At 44.7% G+C, this 26,725-nt stretch overlaps 2 long non-coding RNA genes across 2 annotated transcripts in view; both read left to right on the top strand.

Annotated features, from left to right (window-relative positions):
• LOC105372698 (uncharacterized) overlaps positions 1-13,627 on the top strand; it is a 31,484-nt gene extending 17,857 nt beyond the window's left edge. Inside the window, exon 2 of the long non-coding RNA NR_171673.1 lies at positions 10,830-13,627. This is a non-coding gene — a long non-coding RNA (uncharacterized LOC105372698). The remainder of the gene's footprint in view (positions 1-10,829) is intronic.
• Positions 1-26,725, top strand: part of MIR646HG (MIR646 host gene) — a 183,765-nt gene that overhangs the window by 135,156 nt on the left and 21,884 nt on the right. The gene's annotated exons all lie outside the window — the stretch shown is intronic.

Below are 26,725 nucleotides of genomic sequence, written 5' to 3' on the forward strand. Positions count from 1 at the left end.
TGGTTGGCAAGTCCTAAGGTGGACTCACTGCTCCTTCCTGGCTTTCAGCAGCTTTCTTTCAAAAGAGAAGACAAAGGTGTTTCTGAAAGTCTGAGCACGAATTAACTCTTCTTGTTGAGCTGTAAACTTCCCTATTGGCTCAGCAGCCGTCTCCTCTTACACAAACACATGCCTGAGTACTTGTGTGCATACACACACACACAGACACACACACAGGCTTCTCTCAAGTAGACGTGCACGCACACATACACACACAGACACAGGCTTCTCTCAAGTAGACGTGCGCACGTGCACACACACACACCCACACACACCAGCCCATCTTCTTAGTTGCCTGACTCAATCTGAGACCCTTATGGCGAGTCTTCCTGTCAGCAGTGCTGCTTCCCACGTCAATATCCAGCCTCTTATTCATGTGGATGTGGATGGTTCCCCTAAGGGCATCCTTCTTTGTTCAATCTATAGTAGTGGTTCCCAACTGCGAGCAATTTTATCCTCTTCCCATGGGATACCTGGCAGTGTCTGGAGACCTGTTTGGCTGTCACAACTGGGAGGGGTGGTGCTGCTGTCATCCGGTGGGTGGGAGCCAGGAATGCTGCTAAACCCCCTATAGTGCAGAAGATAGCCTCCCACAGCCAGGTATCCATAGTACTGAGGTTGAAAAGCCCTGGTCTCTAGGGGAAGATGGAATAAAGATGAAATGGCATAAAGATAAAGATGGCATAAAGATGAACAATTCATTTTTGTAAGGAACCCTGGCCCCTGGCCTAGAAGTTTTGGATAGCACTGGGATCTGTCTTTGGAATATTTGAAAAGGAGAGATATGTCCAAACTCACAGAATGATGCCCATGCATCATACAAATCTTGCCTTTTTAGGAACAATGATGACAAGGACAGCAACGGACATTTTTCCTTTTAATTACAAAGTGTGGCTAGTAAGCAGGGCGCCATAACTTCTAAATTACCGTCCTCCACGGGGCTCATTCCCCGAGCAGCCAGGCAGAGGAAGGACACCTGGTCTGATGATGTGCTGATCATGTTTGAGTTACAGGCAAGGAGAATGATCTGGTCTTTGCTGAAACACTTTTCCTCCTGTTATTAAGATACTGCATTGAAAAAAGACACTTGCAGTGTTTGGTGCTATTAATAATTCTCCATTTGTGACATCACCTATATCCCCAGAGAAACAGAGTTTCAATTACTGCATTACAACAAAACTCTTGCAAGATTGGGCTGATAGATGGAGATATTAAAATGGAGAGGCTGAGAGTGTCTGCCTGTGTAGGGGCTGTGAGGAGGGGCACTGTAATTTAACATCGAGATGGCATTTGAACAGGAGAGCGAGAGTCATCATCACAAGAAGCAGAAGCGTCTTTGGCTTGTAACAGTATTAAATATAATTTGCCACTGAATGCACCAGCTATATTTAGCTGGATATTGAAAAGGGGAGAAGAAGGATATGTTTAAATAAGGTTTGGGACAGCTTGTCCTATACAGACTCATCACACTTGATGTACACATATCTCTACAAGTTAGGGGGGAAGAAGCTTCCATCTAATGGTTCCCTTAAATGGTGGTTTCTGCCCCTTTTCTATCTCAGAAATCCTGAACACAGCAGTTCTCCTTAACGAAGATTTTAATGGGAGATATTTGTTTGCACTGCTCTGTCGTTTCTACTTGCATGAGGCTGCCATTTACAACAACAAGTGTAATAGCATCTTTGAGCTTTTTAATTAAAAATTAATTAGGAGATTTAAGAACAGACTCATTGGGGGTTACTGTACAATAACATGTTTACAAAATTAGGTCTGGGCTTTTTGTTCCAGCTAAGTGTTTCAATCAATTCTGTGTCTATTAAATGTAATTATGTATGATGCTTCCTCAAAATTATAATGTAGCATTTAAAAAGCAGCTGGGAAAAGTCTATAATTTTAAGTTTGGAATTAGGGTAACTATTAAAATGCAAATAAAGGCAACTGTAGTTGGTTGACTGGGGAGTGGGAGGTAACAGTTAAAAACAAAGTTTCAGCCAGAGAGAGTTCATCTAGAATGCCTGCCTGTGGGTTTCACCTTTCTTCTCACTCCTGCTGGATCTTCCTCCTGGGGAATGCGAGGGAAGCAAGATTGCAGTGATACCGAATGATAAGAACCGTAAGCGGAAAGGATTAACAGTCTTGCACATTTCCTTGCTAGGTATTTAAGCACGTATTACTTTTTAATGGAGGTATTAATTGATTAAATGTTTGCTTTAGATTTTGGTCCTTTAAACACATATGTTTCCCAAATACTCTTCATTTTCTCGGTTCAGAAACAGCACTTTTAGACACTTTGGAGAGAGGTTCTATATGCATTTTTTTCTGTGTGCATTTCCTTAATGGGTAATCATTTGATGAGAGATTTTAATGTGTGTGGAGGCAGAGATTTAAGATCTGGAATGTCTGAGTACTTTCTATCCCATTCATTCATGAAGGTCTGCAGCAGCGTCTTCAGTTTGCACAGCATATTGAGTCCCACCTACCTGATAACTTCCTGGACAGAACTGGGTTATATCAAAACATTATGTGAAGTAATTAAAAAGCAGTGCTTCTCAAAGAAGATGCCAGGGTCTGTTTCTGCAGCCAGCTCCCTCCTCCCTACCCTGTGATGGGCACAGAAGAGGTCAGTTCACATCTAACTAGAGCAGACTTCAAGAAGCTTGCTGTGGTGGGACTCCCCAGTGGATGGTAAAATGATAACCAGATAAGAGTGATCTTTGAGCAACAAAGGAAATAGACAGACCCAGGCTCTTTCTAAGCATACGAGGCACAGAACTTACACTTGTCGGTGCTGATGGAAGGGCCATTTCAAGATGGCGCCCTCTCCTTGCCTAATGGGACCTACAGCCCAATGATGCCTTGTATTTTTAAGTAGAGGGAAAACTCTCTATAGGGATATCTCCTGAACTGCAGTGTGTCAATATGCTTCTGATTTGAGTGTGTTCCTGTAGATCACTGTGTAGACATAATCATTAGGCAGGCACTCTATATACTGAAGAATTCAACTCTTCCCCAGATTTTTCTTTTACCTTTTGCCATTATCGTTCTCAATGAGAGATGTGCTGGGAGATCTGTAAAAAATGGGGTGTCAATGCCCCAACGTGGCTCCTGGTCATTGGTGTGGCCATGGGTGGTGCAAGAGGCCGCCGGTTGTTCATCTTTCCATGATCCCTCATGTCTCCGCAATGCATACACCCGGAGTCCCCCCAAGACAAAGGGAGGTTTCTTGTCTTGCTCCACAACATGACCGTGACTTATCTACCATGAGTAGGTAAGTCCTTTGGAGGGATTCTAGTAGGGGAAAAATACAATATTTCTCTTGCTATGTCTGTGTAATATATGCTTATTTATTTATTGGAGATGGAGTCTGGTTCTGTCATCCAGGCTGGAAAGCAGTGGCGTGATCTCGGCCCACTGCAACCTCTGCCTCCCAGGTTCAGGCAATTCTCCCACCTCAGTCTCCTGAGTAACTGGGATTACAGGTGTCTGCCACCATGCCCTGCTATTTTTTTTTGTTTGTATTTTTAGTAGAGATTGGGTTTCACTATGTTGGCCAGTTCATCTTGAGCTTCTCATCTCAAGTGATCTGCGCGCTTCAGCCTCCCAAAGTGTTGGGATTACAGGGGTGAGCTACCACATCCAGCCAATATAGTATTTTAAGGTTATAAAAATGGTCTAACTTACTGTCATGGCTTTGTGGGACCTAATTAATTTATTGGAGCTATCCTCTTTTGTCTGTTTTCTCAAGAGTAGAGTTAAAAATTTGAATTCAAATTCAAATTTTTATGGCATTTCCCCCACTGTGCTGCTTGAATACCAGATGTCAATTATGAAATTATATTTATCATATAAACCTGAATAGAAGAAGCATTTTTCTAAAAATCATCCCTCAGAAAAGGAGAATACCTTTAGGTTTGTGTTTTTAAATGTTTCTCTTTTCATATGGCTCTCTTTTTATTTTAAAGAACAATCTTTTGACTCTGGAAGACACATTTGGCTGAGACAATCTCTTTCAGTTCCAGCGTTGGGTGCTTATAGAGGGCACATGTCAAAATTGGGATTGAAATTTTTTCTTAAAGTAATAAAAATTAGCACAGATTTGGTGAATATTCCCTGGGGGCAGGACTTTACATTTTGAAACTTTGAGGGTTATTGCACACGGCTTTGAAGAACCACTTTAAAAAGTGACATGGCCAGCAGTCCTCTGGAGATAACTGATGTGCACCCGCAATAAAAACAAACGAAAAACAAACTCTCCTTGTGTTCTATGAATGAGGACTTGGATGAGGAATCAGTTTCCATTCATACGTGGAGTCAAAAAGTACCAATTGCAAAAACCTGAGAAGTAAGATAAGATGGTGTACTCTGGAAAACCACATTGATCATTCACTAAGTGACCCCAGCGATGGCACTGACGTCAAAGACGCAAGAGAAGAGCCTGAGTAAAACTGTCTCATCAGGAATGAGATGGACAAAGCGATGTTTCCAAGTCCATATTTTCTATATCACTCAAATATGCTATATGTCCAAACAACTTCAGTGTTATTAATAGGCATTATTAATATTTTTTTAAACCTTTATTTTAAGTTTATGGGTACACGTACAGGTTTGTTATATAGGTAAAATTGTGTCTTGGGGTTTTGTTGTACAGATTATTTCATTACCCAGGCATTAAGCCTAATACCCATTAGTTATTTTTCCTGATCCTCTCCCTCCTCCCACCCTCTACCCTCCAACAGGCCCCAGTGTGTGTTGTTCCCTTCTATGTGTCCGTGTGTTCTCATTATTTAGCTCCCACTTATAAGTGAGAACATGCGATATTTGGTTTTCTGTTTCTGCATTTGTTTGCTAAGGATAATGGCATCTAGCTCCTTCCGTATTCCTGCAAAGGACATGATCTCGTTCTTTTTTATGGCTGTGTAGTATTCTGTGGTGTATATGTGCCACATTTTCTTAATCCAGTCTATCACTGATGGGCATTGAGGTTGATTCTGTGTCTTTGCTATTGTGAATAGTGCTAAAAGGAACATAAGTGTGTGCATGTGTCCTTGCAATAGAACAATTTATATTCCTTTGGGTACATACTCAGTAATGGGATTGCTGGGTTGATAGACTTCTTCGTCTTGTCCCAGGAGCTTTCTCCATGGAGGGTGATCATAGTCTCTTTGAGAGAATTTCAAATCGAGGAAACAGGGAATCACTTTATATTTGAGCGCAAGTATGGGTGTGTTTGTTTTGCTTTTTAAACATGAAATCAGGATCAATGATTGGAAATTATTAGTGGAGGTTGAAGGAACTCATCATTGATAAACACCTGCTGCTTGTGTATTGCCAGATAATACACAAAATTCAGATTTAATCAACAAATCTTGGAGTGTGTGTTAATACACTTGTTCTCAATGTCTAATGTATAGCAGAATTGCCTGTGTAGTTTATTAAAAATACAAATTTCAGCTTGTCATATTCCAGCAGCTGGGATGGAATCAGGAATCTGAATTTTGATCATGCACTCCACTATAGCTGTGATGGAGGGTGACTGAGGGCTGTACTTTGAGAAACACTGGCCCTGGCGTGAGGAGGGGCCTCACAAGGAAGCAGCCATCATGCTGAGACCTGAGGAAGCATCCAGGGAGGACATCCATGCATGAAGATCCAGCATTAAGAAAAAGCATGGGCAACAGAATGCCACACAGCAGGGAAAATGGAGGAACTGGATTTATATGTGGAGAGTGAAGAAGTAACTTTACCCAAAGGGAGATCTGGCCTATGTCCTTGGCTACTGGGAGTGATCTCTGGGTTCCTGGAATGTTCTTCCCTCTAGGAGTGTCCAATGTTTGCAGTCTAAACATGTGATTCATGATGAGGCCTTCGGGACATGCCACATCAGTCCCAACCTCTGGAGGAATTGGAGAACAAAGATACCAGCCTGACCTTGCAGGAGAGACAGGAGACCAAGGGCCAGCCACACAGACACTGATGGCTCTGGCTGGCAACATGCTGGAGTGTCCTCATGCATCCTACCTGGGAGGAGGTAACACCAGCCAGGCCTTTGTGGGGATTGATTAATGGGACCAGAAGCTTCCCCGTGGGACCCCTCCTAGACCTGCCCTAGCTGTCCCTCTTTTTGTCTGGTTCTAATTTGTGTCATTTTACTGTAATAAAACTGTAATTATAAATATAGCATTTTCCTGAGTTCCGTGAGTCACTCTTGTGAATTATCCATCCTGAGGGGGTTGTGGAAACCTCCAATTTTGTAGCCAGATGACCAGAAATGAGAGTGACCCTGCAGACCCCTGGACGTGTGTCAGAAATCTTGGCTGGCTTGGCCATCTGGAGAGCTGAGCTCCTAACCCTGAGTTTGACTAAGTCCTCTGCAATATTTCATCCTGAATGAGTCTCAGGAACACAGACTAAAAGAAAGAAATAAGTTTCACAAAATTGAGATACCATTTACGCCAATTTTGAAAGAGGATAGAAGAATTCCATATACTGCTTTGTATTGTATATATTAACATATATACATATAATTCATATTCTAACACTCAACATATATTTACATACATGTAAAGTGCATAGGTAAACACATATACATTTTATATATAAATCAATGTATTCATTTATATTTACATACAAAGTTTTAATATGGGAACAGAAGGATACCCACCAATTTCACAATAGTGGCTGCTTCTGGGGTCAGGATAAGAAAGTCAAATGACAAGCTCTTAACGTTTGTTAATTATGGGTGATGATGGGTGATGATTATTGGATGTTTGCACTATTGATAGTCCATATGTTTTTTGCTATTTAAAATTAATACTTTTTATAGTGGAGATGGAGATAGTGGCTTTTTTTTTTTTTTGAGACAGAGTTTCACTCTTTGTTGCTCAAGCTGTAGTGCAGTGGCACAATCTTGGCTCACTGCAACCTCCGCCTCCCAGGTTCAAGCAATTCTCCTGTCTCAGCCTCCTGAGTAGCTGGGATTACAAGTGCCTGCCACCATGCCTAGCTAATTTTTGTATTTTTAGTAGAGATGGGGTTTCACCATGTTGGCCAGGCTGGTCTCGAACTCCTGACCTCAGGTGATCCACCTACTTTGGCCTCCTAAAGTGCTGGGATTACAGGTGTGAGCTGCTGTGCCCAGCCTCGATAGTGGCATTTTCAAGCACTGTGAGGAGACCTTTGATGCTGGAGCTTGGGCAGGAATGGGAGAGCCCTGAGGGCAGGGCAGCCAGAGGACTAGTGGCTAGCTACATGGGTGAGTGGATATGCTAGCAAGTGTGGATGTTTTTCATGTCCTAGGACAACTTCTCCAAGGACATCCACATCAGGAGGGGTTTTCTAACTATTAAACCTGCAGAAGAAGGAGTCAGGAGCTGCTCATCTTTGGAAGTGCCTAGCAGTGGCTGGAGGACCTGGGATGCCCTGAGGGACAGTCAGCCAGGTAGGACACCTGCCAGGCAGCTGTGAGCCTGAGACTTTCCTTCCACGCAGAGCAGATTCCAGAGCCCCCCAAGCAGGAGCTGCCGCATGGCTGCATGGATCTTTCACCTTCTCAGACTGTCCCCCCATGACTTGGGAAGGCATAATTCTTGTGGTTGAATAAGAATGAGGTGAACGACAGAGGCCCCAGAAGCCACCTAAGATTGGAGGGCCCCACCCTCCTGCTGGAAACATCTACAAGGCCCTTTCCCCATCCTTCCAGCCCTGCTGACTTGCTTCTTGGGTGACTCCATGGTTTTTTGCCTCAGTCTAATTATGCTCAACAGTGGCACACGTCAGTAAAAACCCCATCTGGCTCTCACATCACAAAAGACTGTATACGCCTTGAAACTTAATCTGTGCTGAGCTGAGCACATGCTGCTAAATCACAGGCCCCCGAAGAGTCAAGGTGACATGGCAGGCAGAGGGAAGACCAGCCGTCAGAACCCTCAGCACCACGGGGCTACATTTCACCTTTAGTTGGGAGGAAACTGAAGGCATGCTTTCTGGTTTATCTGGATGTTCAGAGGAAATGAGGGAGGTCTGGAAACACACATTGAGACCAACCCTGTGCCAGGCACTGTGTAAGAAGCACTTCCCCCGGAAGGCATTATTGCCCAGCAATTTACACTTCATTTCTGTTTGATTTAGTTGATGACCCTGTGAAATAGACCACAAGTCACAGATTCACTGTCTAAGAATCTGCAGGCCTTGTAAGCCCCCAAAATGCTTCATGGGACAATGTTAGTCACATGTCGAACTGGCGCTCCCAACTTCAGAACCTCCCTGTGCCTTTCCTGACCTCATAAAAGATTTCCAGGGGAGAGAAAACCCCAGGCAGGACAAGAAGTTTGTGGAAGCCTGGATTCCAGAATAGAGATAAATCTGATGTCAAAAAAGGTGTTTTAAATTTTTTTCAGTGAGCAGGTGGGTAGGTGGGTACAGACATGCCCTTACTTTCTGAGTAAATGCTTTTTGAGAATCTGTGATGCCTGATTCCTGAGCTGAACATTAGAGAAACAGTGCTGGTCTACATAAGGGGAAATATATTTCTAAAAGTGTGGAATCGTTCTCATTTATAAAATGCTTATATTTGATAGTTCAGGATTTTTGCTTTTTAGGGTTTCACTAAAATTTAAGGTTACCAAGGATTAGAATTCTAGTTAGCACATAATTCTATATTCAAAATGTGCCAAAAGATGTGTTATTAGTGAGAGAAAAAATAATTTTGTGTAATTTAGAAGTTATCTGAAAGTTAATTCAAATTATGGACTTTATTTTATTTTATTTATTTATTTATTTTTTTTAAAATTATTATTATACTTTAAGTTTTAGGGTACATGTGCACAATGCGCCGGTTAGTTACATATGTATACATGTGCCATGCTGGTGTGCTGCACCCATTAACTCGTCATTTAGCATTAGGTACATCTCTTAATGCTATCTCTCCCCCCTCCCCCCACCCCACAACAGTCCCCAGAGTGTGATGTTCCCCTTCCCGTGTCCATGTGTTCTCATTGTTCAATTCCCATCTATGAATGAGAACATGCGGTGTTTGGCTTTTAGTCCTTGCGATAGTTTACTGAGAATGATGATTTCCAATTTCATCCATGTCCCTACAAAGGACATGAACTCATCATTTTTTATGGCTGCATAGTATTCCATGGTGTATATGTGCCACATTTTCTTAATCCAGTCTATCAATCATTGTTGGACATTTGGGTTGGTTCCAAGTCTTTGCTATTGTGAATAGTGCCGCAATAAACATACATGTGCATGTGTCTTTATAGCAGCATGATTTATAGTCCTCTGGGTATATACCCAGTAATGGGATGGCTGGGTCAAATGGTATTTCTAGTTCTAGATCCCTGAGGAATCGCCACACTGACTTCCACAATGGTTGAACTAGTTTACAGTCCCACCAACAGTGTAAAAGTGTTCCTATTTCTCCACATCCTCTCCAGCACCTGTTGTTTCCTGACTTTTTAATGATTGCCATTCTAACTGGTGTGAGATGGTATCTCATTGTGGTTTTGATTTGCATTTCTCCGATGGCCAGTGATGATGAGCATTTTTTCATGTGTCTTTTGGCTGCAAATTATGGACTTTAAAAAGGGGTTATTTATTAAAAAAGGTAGGAAGGAACCAGTAAATAGGGGAGAGAGATGTGAAGAACATTATGTGTATGAAGATGTGTTTTTGGTAGGAAAGGTTGTAGAGACAATAACTTTGTATGAGAAAGGATCTTGTATGGTAAATGCTTGTCCTAAAGTAAAATGCCTGGTTGTTTAAAACAAGGGATGTTTAGGACAAGTCAGAGAGTCCAAGCATGTCATAGATGGTCTGTGTAAGTCATGAAGAGGACTTGTGTAGGAAAAGTAGAATATACATTTGATAAAAGTCATGAGAATGTGGATTTTTGCCTAAGTTTTGTTAAAGGATTGTTTTAAGTGAGATAGGAAAAATCTAGAGGCTTGAACAAGTTGTGTAAGGTTTATTAAAAATTAATTATAAAAGAGATTCTGTGTGTGAACATATTGGCTAAAGTTAAAAAGGAAAACTGGTAATTATACTTCACCCATATGCTAGCTTGCAAAGGATACAAGTTTTTGCTAGTACTAGTAGACACCTTTATTATTTATTGGCTGGGTTGAAACTTACCTTACCGGAACAGAGAAGGCTAATGAAGTTATAAAGATTCTCTTAAAGGAAATAATCCCTCAGTATGGGGTACCCTAAAGCTGCCAAAGTGATAACAGCCTGTCTTTTGTCTCCTAGAAAGCTCAAGGGGTTGCTAAGGCTCTCGGAATCAAATACCATTTACATTCATCATGGAGACCTCAATCCTCCAGAAAAGTGGAAAGAGCTAATCAAACTCTAAAACAGGTTTTAGCTAAGCTATGTCAGGAAACATCACAAACTTGGGTCAGCTTATCTGCCCATAGCCCTCTTAAGGATCCATAGTTCCCCTAGAGCAAAAATTAATATGAACCTACATGAAATGTTATATGGAAGGCCATATTAAACTAATGATTTATTACTGATCCAGAAATGGCCAGGCTAATAAAATACTTAGTTAGCCTAGGACAATTTCAGCAGGCTATACAAAAGTTTGGAACTCAAAGACTGCCGACACCAGGAACTAACCAGCAACCCAAAATCAGGCCAGGAGATAATGTACTTGTTGAAACATGGAAGGAGGGATCACCTGCTCAAAAATTGCAAACCAAATGGAAGGGACCATTTTCAGTGGGACTGGTCATGCCTTCTGTGGTCAAAGTAATAGGATTAGATGGTTGGATACATCTTTCCAGGGTCAAGCCTGAGACACCTGAAGCCCTGGACTTGGAATCTGAAGCTGTCATCAGCCAGTACACCTATGAACCTGTGGAAGACCTGAAGTACCTGTTTAAAAGACAGCCAAAAGATAAGTAAATACTTCCCAAATTTCCTTGGTGTCTTTGTTGCATAGTTGCTGTAGGCTGGATAATAGTAGCCATTGTTATATTTTTACAATTAATTTCTTTCCTCCAAACAGATAGAATCACTTCCTTTCTAATAATTAAGCAAAGTAAAATGTTGTAATCCATTTTTGTAACAATCATTCCTGACAGGATAGGTATCCATCACCACCCCTACCCCAAAGTTCCCATTCTATAGAACAAAATAACAAATATGTATTTTTTGTGTTCCATAATAGTCACCCATAGCCTGTGTATACTGGGACCAGGCATATGGGAATCAACTTTATTTTACAACAGCTTCTCTTTAGCTCTCCATCAGTTAATGGATTCTGGGTATTTATTAAGAACTTTACATTTAATGGAAAGAATGTTAAATACCACCAGCCCCACTCTGGCAGAGGACTGTTGGCTTTGTTTATCTCCATCATCATCCCAATACTTTGCCATCTCAATCCCAGCCCAATCTTGGGCCTTTGAGAAAATAACCTATCATTCCTAACTATAAGGGTGGAACTCCCTTCAAATTAATGAGCCTGGATGACTTATATGACTTCAAAATTATGTAAATGACAAGGGTTAGAATGACAGTATGAGTAGTAAACCTCCTCCAGTCCCATCAGAACAAACTTTCTGGGGTTACGTCCCATTAGAAACCCATTTGGTGGCCAATATCAATGTACACAGAACTAAAATTCCAGGTGCCACTTTATATTAAGAGAAGCCACAATTTTTGTCAGGCCCTGGAAACCTTGAAAAGTCATCGACACAACTGCACCCTGGAAATTAATCCCTCACATAATCATGTAAGCTATGCAGTTACCCAATCAGCATTATTTAGAAAACCTGTATGGTTTTCATGGAAATCATTCTGAGTTAAGGACACTTTAAAGGATATACAGTCTAAGTACTGTCAAGGTAGGCCCACTAGCTGTGTTCACATTTTCCATTGGGAAGACTGTACTGATCCTCAGATATCTGGTTGCCTTTTGATTTGCCGGTATGAAAATAGCTTTGGGTGATTGTTGGAGGACACTAAGTGTAACTAACTCCATTCGGAAAACAGAACTGCTGGGGCAACTCGGGATACTTCCCAAGGTCCTTTCCAGCCTTTAACTGGGGCCATCTTAGCAGGGACCTTAACTACTTGGAAAAACAAAAATGGCAAGCTAACCCACATGTTCATCATAGAAAACAATTTTTGTCTTGAACAACAAGGAGCTTTTTTTCCTGCGTGGAACTGGTTCCTACTTATGTTTACCAGCCAACTGGACTGGAACCTGTACACTTGTTTATTTAGCCCTGGCAATTAATATAGCTCCCAATAACCAATTCCTCATTTTACCTTTGACTGCAACTGCCAGGCACAGATTAACCAGTCAACTCATACCCTTTTGGTAGGGCTAGGCGTAACAGCTGGAATAGGAACAGAGGTTAGCGGGCTTGCAACTTCCCTATCCTATTATCAATGCTTGTCCAAGGATTTTATGAAAAGCTTGGATGGCATTGCCTAAAGTATCGTCACCTTACAAAATCAGATAGACTTCTTGGCAGCAGTCACTTTATAAAATAGGAGGGGACTGGATCTCCCTAATGCTAAAAAAGGTGGCTTATGTCTTTTTCCTAGAAGAAGAATGCTGCTTTTATGTCAACCAATCAGGATTTGTAAGGAATGCTACCCAGAAAAATTAGCTGACTGGGCCTCTGATATATGACAACAGCTGTCCAAGTCATGGCACTCCTGATCAAAAATGCTAAGTTTGGGGTTCATGACTCCTTCCTCTAGCTGGCCCTTCATTAATGATGATACTTCCCTTGGTTTTCGGATGTTGTTTGTTAAATCTCTTAACCAAATTCATTTCCTCTTGCCTGGAGACCATCAAGCTGCAGATAATGATGCAGCAAGGCTTCCAGGTAAAGACACCACCCCTGGACATCAAGAAGCTAGCCTCTCTCCACTAGACAGAGCAGGGCAGGATTTCTGTGATCCCCAATAGGTAGGGACTGCACCCAATTCAGGATGAAGCAGTTACAGAAGAAAGACCGTCAGTCTCTCTGCCTGCCGTGAAGACTTTATGGGGATCACATCTCTCATGGGGGAGAAATGAGGCAGGAAAATAGGTACTGGGGGCAGGGAACCTAAGGCCAATTCACATTGACTTCCTAGAACTAAATCAAAAGGAAAAACCCAACTTTCCACATAACAAAAGAATAGAAGCTACTCCCTTTGCAATCCCCACCCCCTTTCTGCATGGCAGATGAGAAATGGAAAGTACCTCTGATGGCTTCCCTCTCACAACCAATCAGAGTGGACACGAGCCTAGTTTTCATTTGCATAGGGGTGTAACTTTGTAACTTTACTTCAGCCTCTGATTGGTCCCCTCCCACAACCAGTCAGATGTTTGCGTAGGGTATAACTTTCTAAGTTCACTTCAGCCTCCGATTGGTCACCTTCTGAAACCAATCAGACTGGTCACAGGCCACTCCTTCATTTACATAGAATGTAAACCAAGTAACCAATGGGACACCTCTAGAAGGTATTTAAACCCCAGAAAATTTTGTAACCTGTGATCTTGAGCCACTTGGTCGAGACTGCTCCCACTTTGTGGAATGTACTTTCATTTCAATAAATCTGTGGTTTTGTTGCTTCATTCTTTTATTGCTTTGTTTGTGCATTTTGTCCAATACTTTGTTCAAAATGCCAATGACTTGGAAAACTCGTAGTCAAGACCCTCCACTGTTAACGGGAGGAGGATTAGAGGGAGGGAGAGGAAAGGAGGAGGAGGTTAAGGAGGAGGAGGAGGTATGGACAGAGGGAGAGAAGGAGGAAGAAAGCTGAGAGACAGAGAGTGAAGAAGTGGAGGTGGAAGGAGGGAGGAAGGAGGAGAGAGAAGAATAAAGGAAAGAGTGAATGAGTCACTGTTTCTGGGTTGTGGGACTGGCTGTGGTTGTAGCTTGCCTGTCTCCCTGTCTCTGGCCCCTTAGGCCAACCACGGGATTCCTGGCCCCAGGATATTTGCAGCACTGGTGTTTGGAACTTCTTACTGAAGTCCATTCCAGAAGTTCTCCCTCTGACCCCACTCTCTGCTTCTGTGGCCCCCAGTCGGGTCCTGCTTCTGGCCTGGGATTTCACATTTAGATCTTTTGTCCAGTGACTAAACCTCAGCATGGCCCAGCAACTGGGGGCCTGGTATCTCTCTAGGTGCAGTGCCCATCGCGGCTGCTCCTGTTCTGGGGATTAGGCGGCCACTGACCTGTCCCCACTGGGGCCACCTTTCGGGGTCTTTGCAGCAGCACTGTGCTCTCAGGTTTCTGGAAGAGGGTATTTCGGCAGAGATAACAGAATCGGCCAGCAGTACCTACCCATGTTTTCCATCCAATAAGCCATCACCTTCCAATTACCATAATGCCTGTAAGTGTAACAAAAGGCTCATTCTGGTGACAAATGTGGCCCTGCACTCTATGTCCCTTGAAGGATAAAAAGGTGTCTCAAATTCTAGTTATGAATTCTGTCACTAGTTCTAATAAAAACTTGCAATAATTAAATTAGAAGCAGAATATAGCTTTTTTTAACATAAAAGGAGAAACAATTTTCTGAGATAAGTCAATTCAAAAAAAATGTAACTGCTTGTCCTATGTATTTATGAAGTAGAAACTCATTTTCCCATCCAATTTTAGCTTCTTATTTCATGTTGGGTAATAGGTACTTCTGATAAGAACAACACCCTCTGATGGAAATGTGAGTATTGTCTTATCCTCAAGTTCTCTTCAGACCCAGATCAAAGATTTAAAAAGGTCATTAAGGTTTGAATATTTCACTCAACTGACTCAGGCTAATTACAGACGGAGTGGTGGTTTGGCAGCTAACTCCATGGTTCCCCACCTTTCTGTGTCCTTCTTTTTATTTTTTATTATTCTTACCTAAATGCTGCCTACCCTTTACAAATAATTTGAAGATCTCCTCCTCCAGGAAGCCTCCAGGGATTGCCTCTGGATGGATGGAGCTTTGCAGCTGGTCACCACTTGCCCTTCAACCTCCTGTCGACAGGGTTGTCCTCAGGATGGGTCAGGAGGAAAACATTCTCCATGTCTGTCACCCGCCTTCTGTCACCCACCCCCTGTTATTAGGCTGTTCTTACATTGTTGTAAAGAAATACTGGAGACTGGGTAATTATAAAGAAAAAAAGTTTAATCAGCTCATGGTTCTGCAGGCTTTACAGGAAGCATGGTGCTGGCATTTGCTTGGCTTCTAGGGAGGCCTAAGGAAGCTGATGATCATCTCGGAAGGTGAAGGGGGAGTAAGCACTTCACATCATGAATGCAGGAGTGAGAGAGAGAGAGAGAGAGAGAGAGAGAGAGTTGACGGGGAGGTGCCACACACTTCTACATGATGAGGTCTCGCAAGAACTCAGTCACTATCATGAATATAGCACTAAGCCACAAGGGATTTGTCTCCATGATCCAAACACCTCCCACCAGGCCCCACCTCCAGTATTGGGTATTCCAATTCAACATGAGAGTTCAGCAGGGATAAATATCCAAATGACATCATTTCTCCCCTGGCCCCTCCCAAATCTCATGTCCTTCTCACATGGCAAATACAGTCATGCCTTCCCAGTAGTCTCCCAAAGTGTTAACTTGTTCCAGTATTAACTGAAAAGTCCAAAGCCCAAAATCTTATGAGACAAGGCAAGGCCCTTCCACCTATGAGCTGGTAAAATCAAAACCAAGTAATTTATTTCCAGGATACCATGTGGGTACAGACATTGAGTAAACATTGCCATTATAAAAGGAAGAAATCAACCAAAAGGAAGGTGCTACAGGCGCCACACAAGTCTGAAACCCAGCAGGGCAGTTATTAAATCTTAGAGCTCCAAAATAATCTCTCTTTTTTGACTCCATATTCTGCATTCAGAGCACACTGGTGCAGGGGATAGGTTCCCATAGTCTTGGGCAGCTCCACTTCTGTGGTCTTTTCATGGATCAGCCCTGACTACTGCTCTCACAGGTTGAGTGCTTATGATTTTTCCAGGTGCATGCTGCAAGTGGCTGGTGGATCTACCATTCTGGGGTCTGGAGGGTGGTGGCCCCCTTCCCATAGTTACACTAGGCAGTACCCCAGTGGGGACTCTGTGTGGGGGCTCCAACCCCACATTTTCCCACCACACTGCCCTAGTAGAGGTTACTGTGAGGGCTCTGCCCCTGAAGCAGGCTTCTGCCTGGGCACCCAGGTTTTCTCATACATCCTCTGAAATCTAGGCAGGGGCTGTCAAGCCTTCACTCTTGCACTCTGTGTGCCCACAGGCTTAACACCACGTGAAAGCCACCAAAGCTTACAGCTTGCGCTCTCCCGAGTAGCAGCCCAAGCTGTATCTGGGGCCCTTTGAATCATGACTGATGCCATGACTGGAGCCACAGCAGCTGGAATGCAGGGAGCACTGTCCTGAGGCTGTGCAGGGTAGCGGGGGCACTGGCTGGCCTGTGAAATCATTCTTTTTTCTTAGGCCTCTGGGCCTCTCGTGGCGGGGGTGCTGCCTGGAAGTTTTCTGAAATATCTTTGAGGACTTTTCCCCGTTATGTTGGCTATTAACACTTTGCTCCCTTTTAGTTAAGAGTAAATTTCTCTATCGAGTGGTTGCTCTATAACCAATTAAATTTCTTTCCTGAAAAAAGCTTTTTCTTTCTTGGCTTCATGGCCAGGATGCAAATTTTCCAAACTTTTATGCTCTGCTTCGTATTTAAATATAAATTCCAACTTTAAGTTATTTCTTTGCTCCCACACCTGAGCGTAGGCTGTTAGAAGCAGCCAGGCCAATTCTTGAATGCTTTGCTGCTCAGAAATTTCTTCCACCAGATACCTTAGGTCTCACTCTCAAGCTCAAAAGTCAACAGGTTCCTAGGGAATGAACCCAATGCAGGCAAGTTCTTTGCTAAGGCGTAACATGTGTGACCTTTGCTCAAATTCGCAATAAATTCCTCATTTCCATCTGAGACCTCCTCAGCCTGGACTTCACTGTCCATATCACTATCAGCATTTTGGTGATAACCATTTAACCAATCTCTAAGAAGTTCCAGACTTTCTTTCATCTTTCTGTCTTTTTCTGAGTTCTCCAAGTTCTTGCAGCATATGCTTATTACCCAGTTTCAAAGCTGCCTCCAAAATTTCAGTTATCTTTATAACAATACCTCACTCCTCAGTACCAATTTTCTGTATTAAGCCATTCTGTCATTGCTATAAAGAAAGATCTGAGACTGGACAATTTATAAAGAAAATAGGTTTAATAGGCTCATGGTTCTGCAGGCTGTACAGGAAGCATGGTGCTGGCATTTGCTTGGCTTCTAGTGAGACCTCAGGAAGCTTACAATCACGGCAGAAGGTGAAGGGGGAGCAGGCACATATGGCGAAAGCAGGAGCAAGAGGGAGGGTGGTGGGGAGGTGCCACACATTTTAAACAACCAGATGTCATGAGAACTCACTCACTATCGCAAAGGCAGCACCAGGCCATGCGGGATCTATGCCCATGACCCAAACACTCCCAGCAGGCCCCACCTCCAGCACTGGGGATTACAGTTCAATATGAGATTTGGGTGGGGACAAATATTCAACTTTATCAGCCCCTTCACAAGAAATCCATTTCGAAGAACTGACTAGGTCCCCTCCCCCTAGGCTTGAAATGGGCTGGGCTATCCTCTGCCAGTTTCAGGCCCCAGCTTGGGTTGGGGATGAGGACAATGGGTAGAAAGACAGGAGAAGTGGAGGGAGACAGGTGGGTCTGAGTAATTGAGTGAAAAGTGATTATGGAATATTTGGTCACTGGAAAACAAAGAGAGACAGAGAGAGGATCAGAAAGGGGAGACAACTAATGACGCAAGGCACTAGGTTTGGGAGAATCGTGTGGGATTGGAAGTTTGAGAGGAAAATGTTGGGAGAGGGGGATGGATAGAAAGAATTTGAGGGCAGCTACAGGGTGTGGGACAGACCAAGAGTGAGTGGAATAGGGATTTAGAAATAAAAGCCTTACTATGGGTTATGAATTGCATTCTCTTTGATGTTCTTTGAGAGACTCCAACAAAAAATGGAAATAATCTAAATTTTGTTTGAGCATTCAGAGGTGTGATTGTGTGAGCCTGTTTCTTTATGTGACTCCACGCAGAGACTGGGCCCCGTGATGAGCCCTCTCCTGTCTGGGTTCACGCTGTTGTTCACATGGTGCCCTGTGTGCATAGCATCTGGAGTCAGAAGACCTGGCGCTTGAAAGCTGGATGCAAGATGTTGCAAAAGTTACTTAGCTTCTTTAAGCCTCAGTTTCCTTAACTGTAAAATGGACACACTAATAATAGCTTTCTAATAGGGCTGTCTTCAAAGCAAACTGAGATAATTAGATGTGGAGATGCAAGGTTAGGCTTATCACACTGTAAGCAATTAATTATTAATAGATCTTTATTTCTTTGCTTTTTTTTTTTCATTCATCCCCTGATATGGTTTGGCTCTGTGCCCCTACCCAAATCTCACCTTGAATTGTAATCACCATAATCCCCACATGTGAAGGGCAGGACCAGGTGGAGGTAATTGAATCATGGAAGTGGTTTTCCCCAGGCTGTTCTCATGATGAGTGAGTCTCATGAGATCCGATGGTTTTATAAACATCTGGCATTTCCCCTGCTTGCACTTCTTCTTCCTGCCGCCTTGTGAAGATGTCTTACTTCCTCTTTGCCTTTCAGCATGATTGTGAGTTTCCTGAGGCCTCCGCAGCCTTGCTGAACTGTGAGTCAATTAAACCTCTTTCCTTTATAAATTACCCAGTCTCAGGCATGTCTTTATTAGCAGCATGAGAACAGACTAATACATCTCTTCATGTTACGTCTTACAACCCCAGCTGTTGCGTTTGCTCTTTGTAGAAAGGACTGTGTCCTCTGAGCCCAACCAGGATGGCATACATTTCTGGAGCTCCAGGAGGCCATCTGGGGTGAGTCTACCCTGTAACCCCAGGGGGCTCTTTCACATGCTGCCCCAAGAGGGGCAGCCTGTCATGACCCAGGCACAGATATGTGTGCCCTGACACCCAGCCTGTTCCCTTGAAGGGGTTTCTGTGTGCTCTATGCTAAGCCTTGTCTGAGTTTCTTGACCCTGGCTGTGAGTCTCATGAGCGAGCCATGAGGGTTTGGCCTGTTTGCTCAACCCCTAGAAAGAGGACATGTACAAGTGGGCTTTCACCGAACGTCCCTGAGCAGAATCAGAATCATACATTCATAATCATATTTAATTCCTCAACAACAAAAGAGACACATTTGTCTCAGGGCTAAGTACTAAAAAATGCATGGAGCAGGAGAAAATCATCAACAAAAATTTAACTGAATGCCCATGACTAATGATTTATTTAAGGTGTTCTGGCTTGATTACAGCTGGCTGTATTTGAAAACAACCAGCTTGTGTGGGAGGCAGAGTAGGGGGCAGCTGTAGGGCAGCCTGGGCCTGGCTGGTGGACTGAGGCCCCCATCTACAAGCCAGGCAACTTGGGCAGCTCCCCCTCTGTGTATGAGGCACTGAGGTGTTGTGTGCAAAATGACTGGCACCAAGCTAGTGCTCAATAAACGTCACATACTGTTACCGTTTTTTGCTGTAGTCAGGAGTGTTAATGCCATTTGCTTCTCCTGAAAATAAAATCTTAATTTTTTGTACTCCAAAATGACAGATAAATATTTTATTTGTTTGATACTGAGTGTTCTGCATCTGACATCCTAATGAACACTGAACATATTTCCATTCACTAATGCTGTTAAAAGAACCACAGGCTTGGTTTTGCAAAAAGATGTATCTTTGCAACCAACAGACTTACCCATTACTGCAGAGATGAGAGGACTTTCTGCTGTTTGAATGTATGCATTAACCAAAAATACAGAAGCGAGTGTGACCTTGAATATTAGCATTGGGAACAACAGGTGGTCGTGGACATAAAGTCTTACCCACAGCTAGGGGCAAAGGGCATGCTACGAACATTTCATTGAACATAGGATCACAAGCATGCACATTGTCACATTGTCACATGGAAGCTATTTGCAGAGGGAAAAGTGGGGACGAGGGTACAATGACTTGGACAGAGACCCCACAATCTATGGGAAGGCCTAAGATTGTGAGGTAGACACAAATGCCTTCTCCTTCTGGCTATTTTAAGATAAGCATTCTGAAAAGCACACATATTGACTGAGCTCTATCCAATAATGATGAAAAATACAGACCAAAACACAACAAGGAAAAAGAAAGTGATCAGAGGTGTGGTGGTTGGTGAGTGTTTGGCTTCTCTACCTGTTCATCCCAAAGCCCACTGCTGGTAATTGCTGCTGCCTCTTTGATCCCAGACAAGGAATAAGGGCCAGGCCTGATGCTCAGAAGAAGCCAAGGTGGCCTCTCTTAACACAAAGGTAAAGAGCATGGGTTTGAGCCCTCTTGTGCAAGGTGCTTTGCAAAGCATGACTTTGCATATCTATTCTAATTTTATCTTTGCAATAACCTGTGGGATGGAAAACACTTCCACCCATTTCACAGATGTAAAAAATGAGGCCCAGCAGGGGTAAGATGCTCTCAATCACACAGTGTCAAAGTTTCAGCCTCTGGGAGTGCTTGTTCCTCCTTGTGTTGGTCTGAAATCTGATTTCCCAAACTTCTGCCCACAGTCCAGGCTTCCTACTTGCTCAGCACATGCCTGACCTATCCTGGGGGACAGACCTTTAGGTGGCCAAAGATGGCACTCACTTCCCTGCAGCAGTTTCCTTCCATCATTGCCACATCCTTCAAGCATCCTTCATGCATCTTTCCCACAGCCTGGCTTTGAGTCTCTCCAACATTTTATTTTAAATCTACCTCCAGCTGATTGATATCACTCTGCAAAATTTAGTATTTAGAACCTCATGCCACACCACGACCTGGTTTTAAAACACCTGAATTAAGTTTACAATGATCAACTGTATTAACTCTGTCGCTAGGGTTCTCTTATTGCAAGCTAAGTTTGTGCCAGCATTGTCAGCAGCCAATAATAGCATGAACTTACACGGAGATCCTTGTGCATTCATTGGGTCACAGAGCGCTGTTGGGTACCTCCTACACACCAGGTCTTGGTCTCTAGGATATAATGGTGAGCAGCAGAAAATTCAGATGCAGAGCAGTAGGGAGGGCAGAAAGGAAGGAAACAATCAAACTAGTGCGTGTCAGGTTGCCACTCTGTGTGTGCTGTAAAGGGAAGGACGTGGTGCGCTCATCGTGTAAACAGGCAGGCCTGGCGTGGTTTGAATGGGGATGGTGAGAAGACACTCCCCTAAGGAAGTGGCATTTAATCTGATAGGTAACGAATGAGAATAAAGTGGGTGAAGTGGTCAGGTGGGGTGGCTCACACCTGTAATCCTAGCACTTTGGGAGGCTGGGGCGGGTGGATAGCTTGAGCCCGGGAGTTTCAGACCAGCCTGGGAAACATGGTGAAATGCTTTCTCTACTAAAATTATGTAAAACCAGCTGGGTGTGGTGATGCATGCCTGTAGTCCAACTACTCAGGTGGCTGAGGTGGGAGGATCACTTGAGCCCAGGAGGTCAAGGCTGCAGTGAGCTGTAATCGTGCCACTGCACTCCAGCCTGGGTGACAGGAATGAGACTCTGCCTCAAAAACAAAACAAAACAAAACAAAAAAACCTGGGAAGAGGCAGGAGATATAGAGGGTGGAGTGTAATAGGAGAGTGTTCCAGGAAGCATGTGCAAAGGTCCTGAGGCAGGGAGGAGCTTTGTGGTGAAGGACATAAGGAAGAGTGGCTGATGTTCAGAGAATGAGCATGTTCTGAGTCAGGAATAGAGAAGCTGGCCCCAGGGCAGCCATGCAGGAGCTTGTCAGACATGGCGGGGGGTTGGGCCTTTATTCTGAGAGTAATAAGAAGTCACTGAAGAATTTCAGGCAGAGGAATGAAATGATGAGGCTGCAGCTTGAAAAGCTCCCTTTGCCTGCTAGGTGTAGACGGGAACCTCACAGGGCAAGAAAGCTGGTAGGAAGGCTACTGAGGCAGGGGAGGGGAGAATTGATGGGGTCTGTGAGGGAGGTGTGAGTGTTGACTGATGGAAGATCTGGGGCATGAGCTCCTTCTCATGATGGAGTCCACAGGCTGGCCCCAGCAGTTACCTTGCAAGCTGGAGTAAAGACTTTGGACCAGGTGCTCTCTTGGGTGGAAACAAGACCCACCAGAAATGGTCCTACTGGTTCACCACCTTTCTCTACTTGGAAATCAGCTAGTAAGGCAGGATTCCCCCCTTTGACATGCATGGGCCACCTTCATCAGTGGTTAAGAAGAAAAGGTAACACTGGGACCTGAACTCGCGTTATTTAAAATGGGAAGTTTGAGGGGAGGCTTCGTGCCAAACGGAGCAATATTTGTTGTAAATGGTGCATGCGCTGTATGTGGCAAAAGGCATTTTTTGATGTCAGCTATTTCTTTGAACTCTGAAGAGCCCTACCTTTCACTGGCTTCTGTCTAGCAAGCCACCCCTTCAGTGTCCTGAGCACACCTTAGATCAAAGCCCGCTGCACCCAGGCCTTTTTTATGTTCCTTTTGCACAGGTGAGATGAAAGTTGCTGGGAATGGGGATGTCATTCCATGAGCCAGATGAGAAATGGGGGGATGGGCATCTGCGGGAGGGTCCACAGCACAGTCCCCAGGAAGACAGCAGCTGTCCCCTTTTCTCTCCAGTGACCAGCATTTCACCAGGGGAGAATTTGGGCTCAAAGTTTTCCTGTTTGGGGTGGGACACAGAAGCCCAGGCCACCCTTTCAAGGGCATAACGCTGTCAATTTCTTAACCCTATTTGTCACACTCATATGGATGCCATAATTAGTTATTTAATTATGATGTGTAAAACCAGAAGCTAACGAGGATAAAATGATGAAAGTTAATCATTTTGCCACCCCAAGGTAATGAGCTTTCATCCTGTCCTCAGATATTGGGGTTGGAAATCAGATTCTTGTAAAACGACTCTCTGTGGGCTGACTTCAAAATGTGGGGAGTGTCTATGACATGGCTCCTGTGTCACTTCTGAGGGACGGAGGGAGGCAGAATTAGAACAACACAACAGTGAGCACAGGCAAAGAGGGGGAGGTGCCTGGTGGTCCCTCTGTGCCTGGCGCTGCTCCAAGGACATGACTCCCATGACCGGCAGTGAGCAGTCAATTCCGTAGTGGCACCATCACCCCGGTGAGGAATAAGAGGCTGAGATGCGGACAGGAGCGGTGGCTCACGCCTGTAATCCCAGTACCTTGGGAGGCCGAGGCAGGCGGATCATGAGGTCAGGAGATGGAGACCATCCTGGCTAACACGGTGAAACCCCATCTCTACTAAAAAAATACAAGAAATTAGCTGGGCGTGGTGGAGGGCGCCTGTAGTCCCAGCTCCTCGGGAGGCTGAGGCAGGAGAATGGCGTGAACCCGGGAGGCGGAGCTTGCAGTGTGCCGAGATCGCGCCACTGCACTCCAGCCTGGGCCACAGAGCGAGACTCCGGCTCAAAAAAAAAAAAAAAAAAAAAAAAAAGGAGGCTGAGATGCCAAGTAGCTTGTCACATATCACATGGCTGGAAAGCAGTGGAGGCAGGCGTGCGGTCTGGTTCTGCATCCCAGCTTTTAGAAGGTCTGTTGAGCTTGCATGGAGTAAAAAGGTGCTCTGGGACACCTGCTATCAGGAAGCCAAAGGCAAAACTGCACAGACATGCTCCTTCAACCAGCGCACACGGCAAAACTCAGGCCACTTTGGCTGCTCTTACTTGTTCTCTATAAAATGTTTGTACTTTATAACAGCGGTCCCCGACCTTTTTGGCACCAGGGACTGGTTTCTTGGAAGACAATTTTTTTTTTCCATGGACCAGGGCAGGGGGATGGTTTGGGATGATTCAAGCACATTACATTTATTGTACACTTTATTTCTATTATTATATTGTAATATATCAAGAAATCTACACAGCTCACCATAATGTAGAATCAGTGGGAGCCCTGAGCTTGTTGTCCTTTAACTAGACGGTCTTAGCTGGGGGCGATTGGAGATGGTAACAGATTGTCAGGCATTAGATTCTCATAGGGAGTGTGCAACCTAGATCCCTTGCACGTATAGTTCGCACTCTAGTTCATGCTCCTATGAGAATCTAGTGCTGCTGTTGTTCTGGCAGAAGGTGGAGCTCAGTTGGGAATGTGAGCCATGGGGAGTGGCTGTAAACACAGATGAAGCATGGCCCGCTCTCCTGCCACTCACCTCCTGCTGTGCAGCCCAGTACCCGTCCGTGGCCCTGCGATTGAGGGCCCCCGCTTTATAAAGAACCTTACACTTACTTCACTGTAAACACAATTTGAAATTCTCATTCTTTTAAAATACTTAGTTCTCATACTTTAAGATATGTAAGTTTGACAAGTGATCAACTTTTGAAAAAGCAGCATTTAGGTGTTTGGAAATAAATGGCATGACTGCAAGGTGTTTAGCCGATGCTGTTTCTTAGTGATGCCTGTGGAAATAGCTATGTTAGATTGTAACTGTTTCCTGTGTCTGCTGTAACAAATTACAAAAAATTTCGTGGCTTAGTGCAACAGAAACTCACTCTCCCACAGTTCTGGGGGCCAGAAGTCCAAAGTCAACGTGTCGGTGGGGCCACACTCACTCCTGAGGCTCTGGGGGAGGGATTTTCCTCACCTTTCCTAGCTTCTGGTGGCTCCTGGAGATCCTTGGCTGTAGTCACCCCCTCCCATCTCTGCCTCTGCCTTCACATTACCGCGTCCTCTGTGTGTTGATGTCTTCTCCTCTCTGATCTTGTAAAGGACATTTGTCACTGGATGTAGGGGCCACCCAGGTCATCCACGATGATGACATCGCCAGACCCTTAACTTCATCTGCAGAGACCCTCTCCCACATAAGGTCACATTCACAGGTGCTGGGATGTGAACAGACCTTTTCTTGGCTCGGGGAGGGGGCAGCATTCAACCTACTGCTGAGGTCATTTGTTCAAAGCACTTAGAACAATGGCATCAATAAGAGCTCAAGGAATACTGGTGGTTGCTATTAATATAATAGTAATGATTATTATTTCCTAGGGTAGGGTTTGGGAAGCCTCCAGGCCTTTTGGTTAAAACTGAACTGATGAGCACAGAGAGTCAGTGCAACAGGTGGGGGAAAGGCCTGGGAGCCTGGCGGCCCCTGCTCCCACCAGTAAGGCTGCCTGTCCGAGGGGAGGCCTGGGGGCTCCAGCCTCATCCCCCATCAGCACAGCGAGAACAGTGGTTTCTTGCTGGGGATTGCAGTGTCTGCCTTTCGAGTTTCCTTGGAGCAGATGTTCTGAGAGTTCAGTGTTTTCCCTGCTGAGAAGCCCAGGGCTCTGACCCTGCCAACATGCTCCCGAGATTCCTAAACACAGCACTGATTGGAACCTGACCTCTTCACAGTGCAGAGGATCCTTGGGGGCTCCTGCTCTTTAGTAAAAACACAGCTCGCCTCTCATTTTCCACCTGGAGCTCCTCACCCGCAAGCCCTGGTGGAGCTGCTTTGAGGATGGACCAGAGCCTCATTCTGTGATGCTATCATTTCTGCATCCACAGATTCACTGCACTGGCCATACACATGCTCGGCTGCCGGGGGACCAGGAATGCAGGGTGCGGGCTCCTGACCTGTGTTTCTAAAGTCTGCTCATTCACCCCTCGCCCAGTGCTTCTCATGCTTTCAAGGAACACACACCCTTTCAAGGGTCTTGTGTGTGCCAGGCACCCTGAACAGGCCCAGCCCCGCACTTAATGAGCTACTCACGAATCAGAGGACAGGATGGTGAAGTGACAGGCAGTCACACTGCTTGCAAGGGGGTGACATTTGGGGGCAGGAGGCTGTAGGGTCCATGAAGAAACTCCACTGTAGGTTGTGGGGTCGGAGGAAGCCGAGGGCTAAAGGATGAGTATCACCTGGAGAGAGGAAGAGGTTTCCATTGACCTGGAGAGAGGAAGAGGTTTCCATTGGCAAGTGGTACTGGATTCCTGTTTGCTGTGGGAGCTGCCTGGGTGTTGTAGGATATTGAGTTTAGGCAAAGCCCTGGAGGCAGCAGATAGCAGGTGTGTCTGTAACTATGTGACCCCAGGGAGGTTGGCGCCCAGTGGGCAGCCTGGGGAGCATAAGAGGAGGCTGTAGGAGCAAACAAGCAGGCAGGATCCTGGAGGGCCCATAGGTACTGAGGAGTGTGGGCTACGTGTTTGGAGCAGGAAAGCCACATACTCCGAGCAGCCTTTTACAATGGCCCACCTGCTGTACTGGGACCTTATCACTCCATGCTGGGCTCAGATTAACACCAGTGAAAAACATCTCAAGATCTGCTCCTGTGTGGTTTCTCCTGGTCAGTCACCCAAGAACCAGCCCTGCAGCTTTCTCCACTGGCCCACGGCACAGACTCCAGAGTGGCCGCCGCACTCGCCCTGTATGGGCCCTGCAGCTTCTGTGCCATCACTTCCCCGAGCTCACTCACACCTTGCACCCCAGCACCGGGCCACCCAGCACCGTCCACACTGTGCAGTCGTGTGCTTCCCGAGAGTTGGTTATATTTGTTCCCAAACCTGTTTACTCCAGTCGTACTTGCTAGTGTAAATACACCCTGCAATTAAATATTACATAAAAAAATGAACATCTGAGTGCAAATAAGAAGGCCGTCGCTTCTATAAATAAAGGTTGAATTTTTGGAAAGACTCAAACAAGGCAAGGTACTAAAACTT

The sequence above is a fragment of the Homo sapiens genome, chromosome 20 (genome assembly GCF_000001405.40).
Source record: "Homo sapiens chromosome 20, GRCh38.p14 Primary Assembly".
Taxonomy (NCBI): domain Eukaryota; kingdom Metazoa; phylum Chordata; class Mammalia; order Primates; family Hominidae; genus Homo; species Homo sapiens.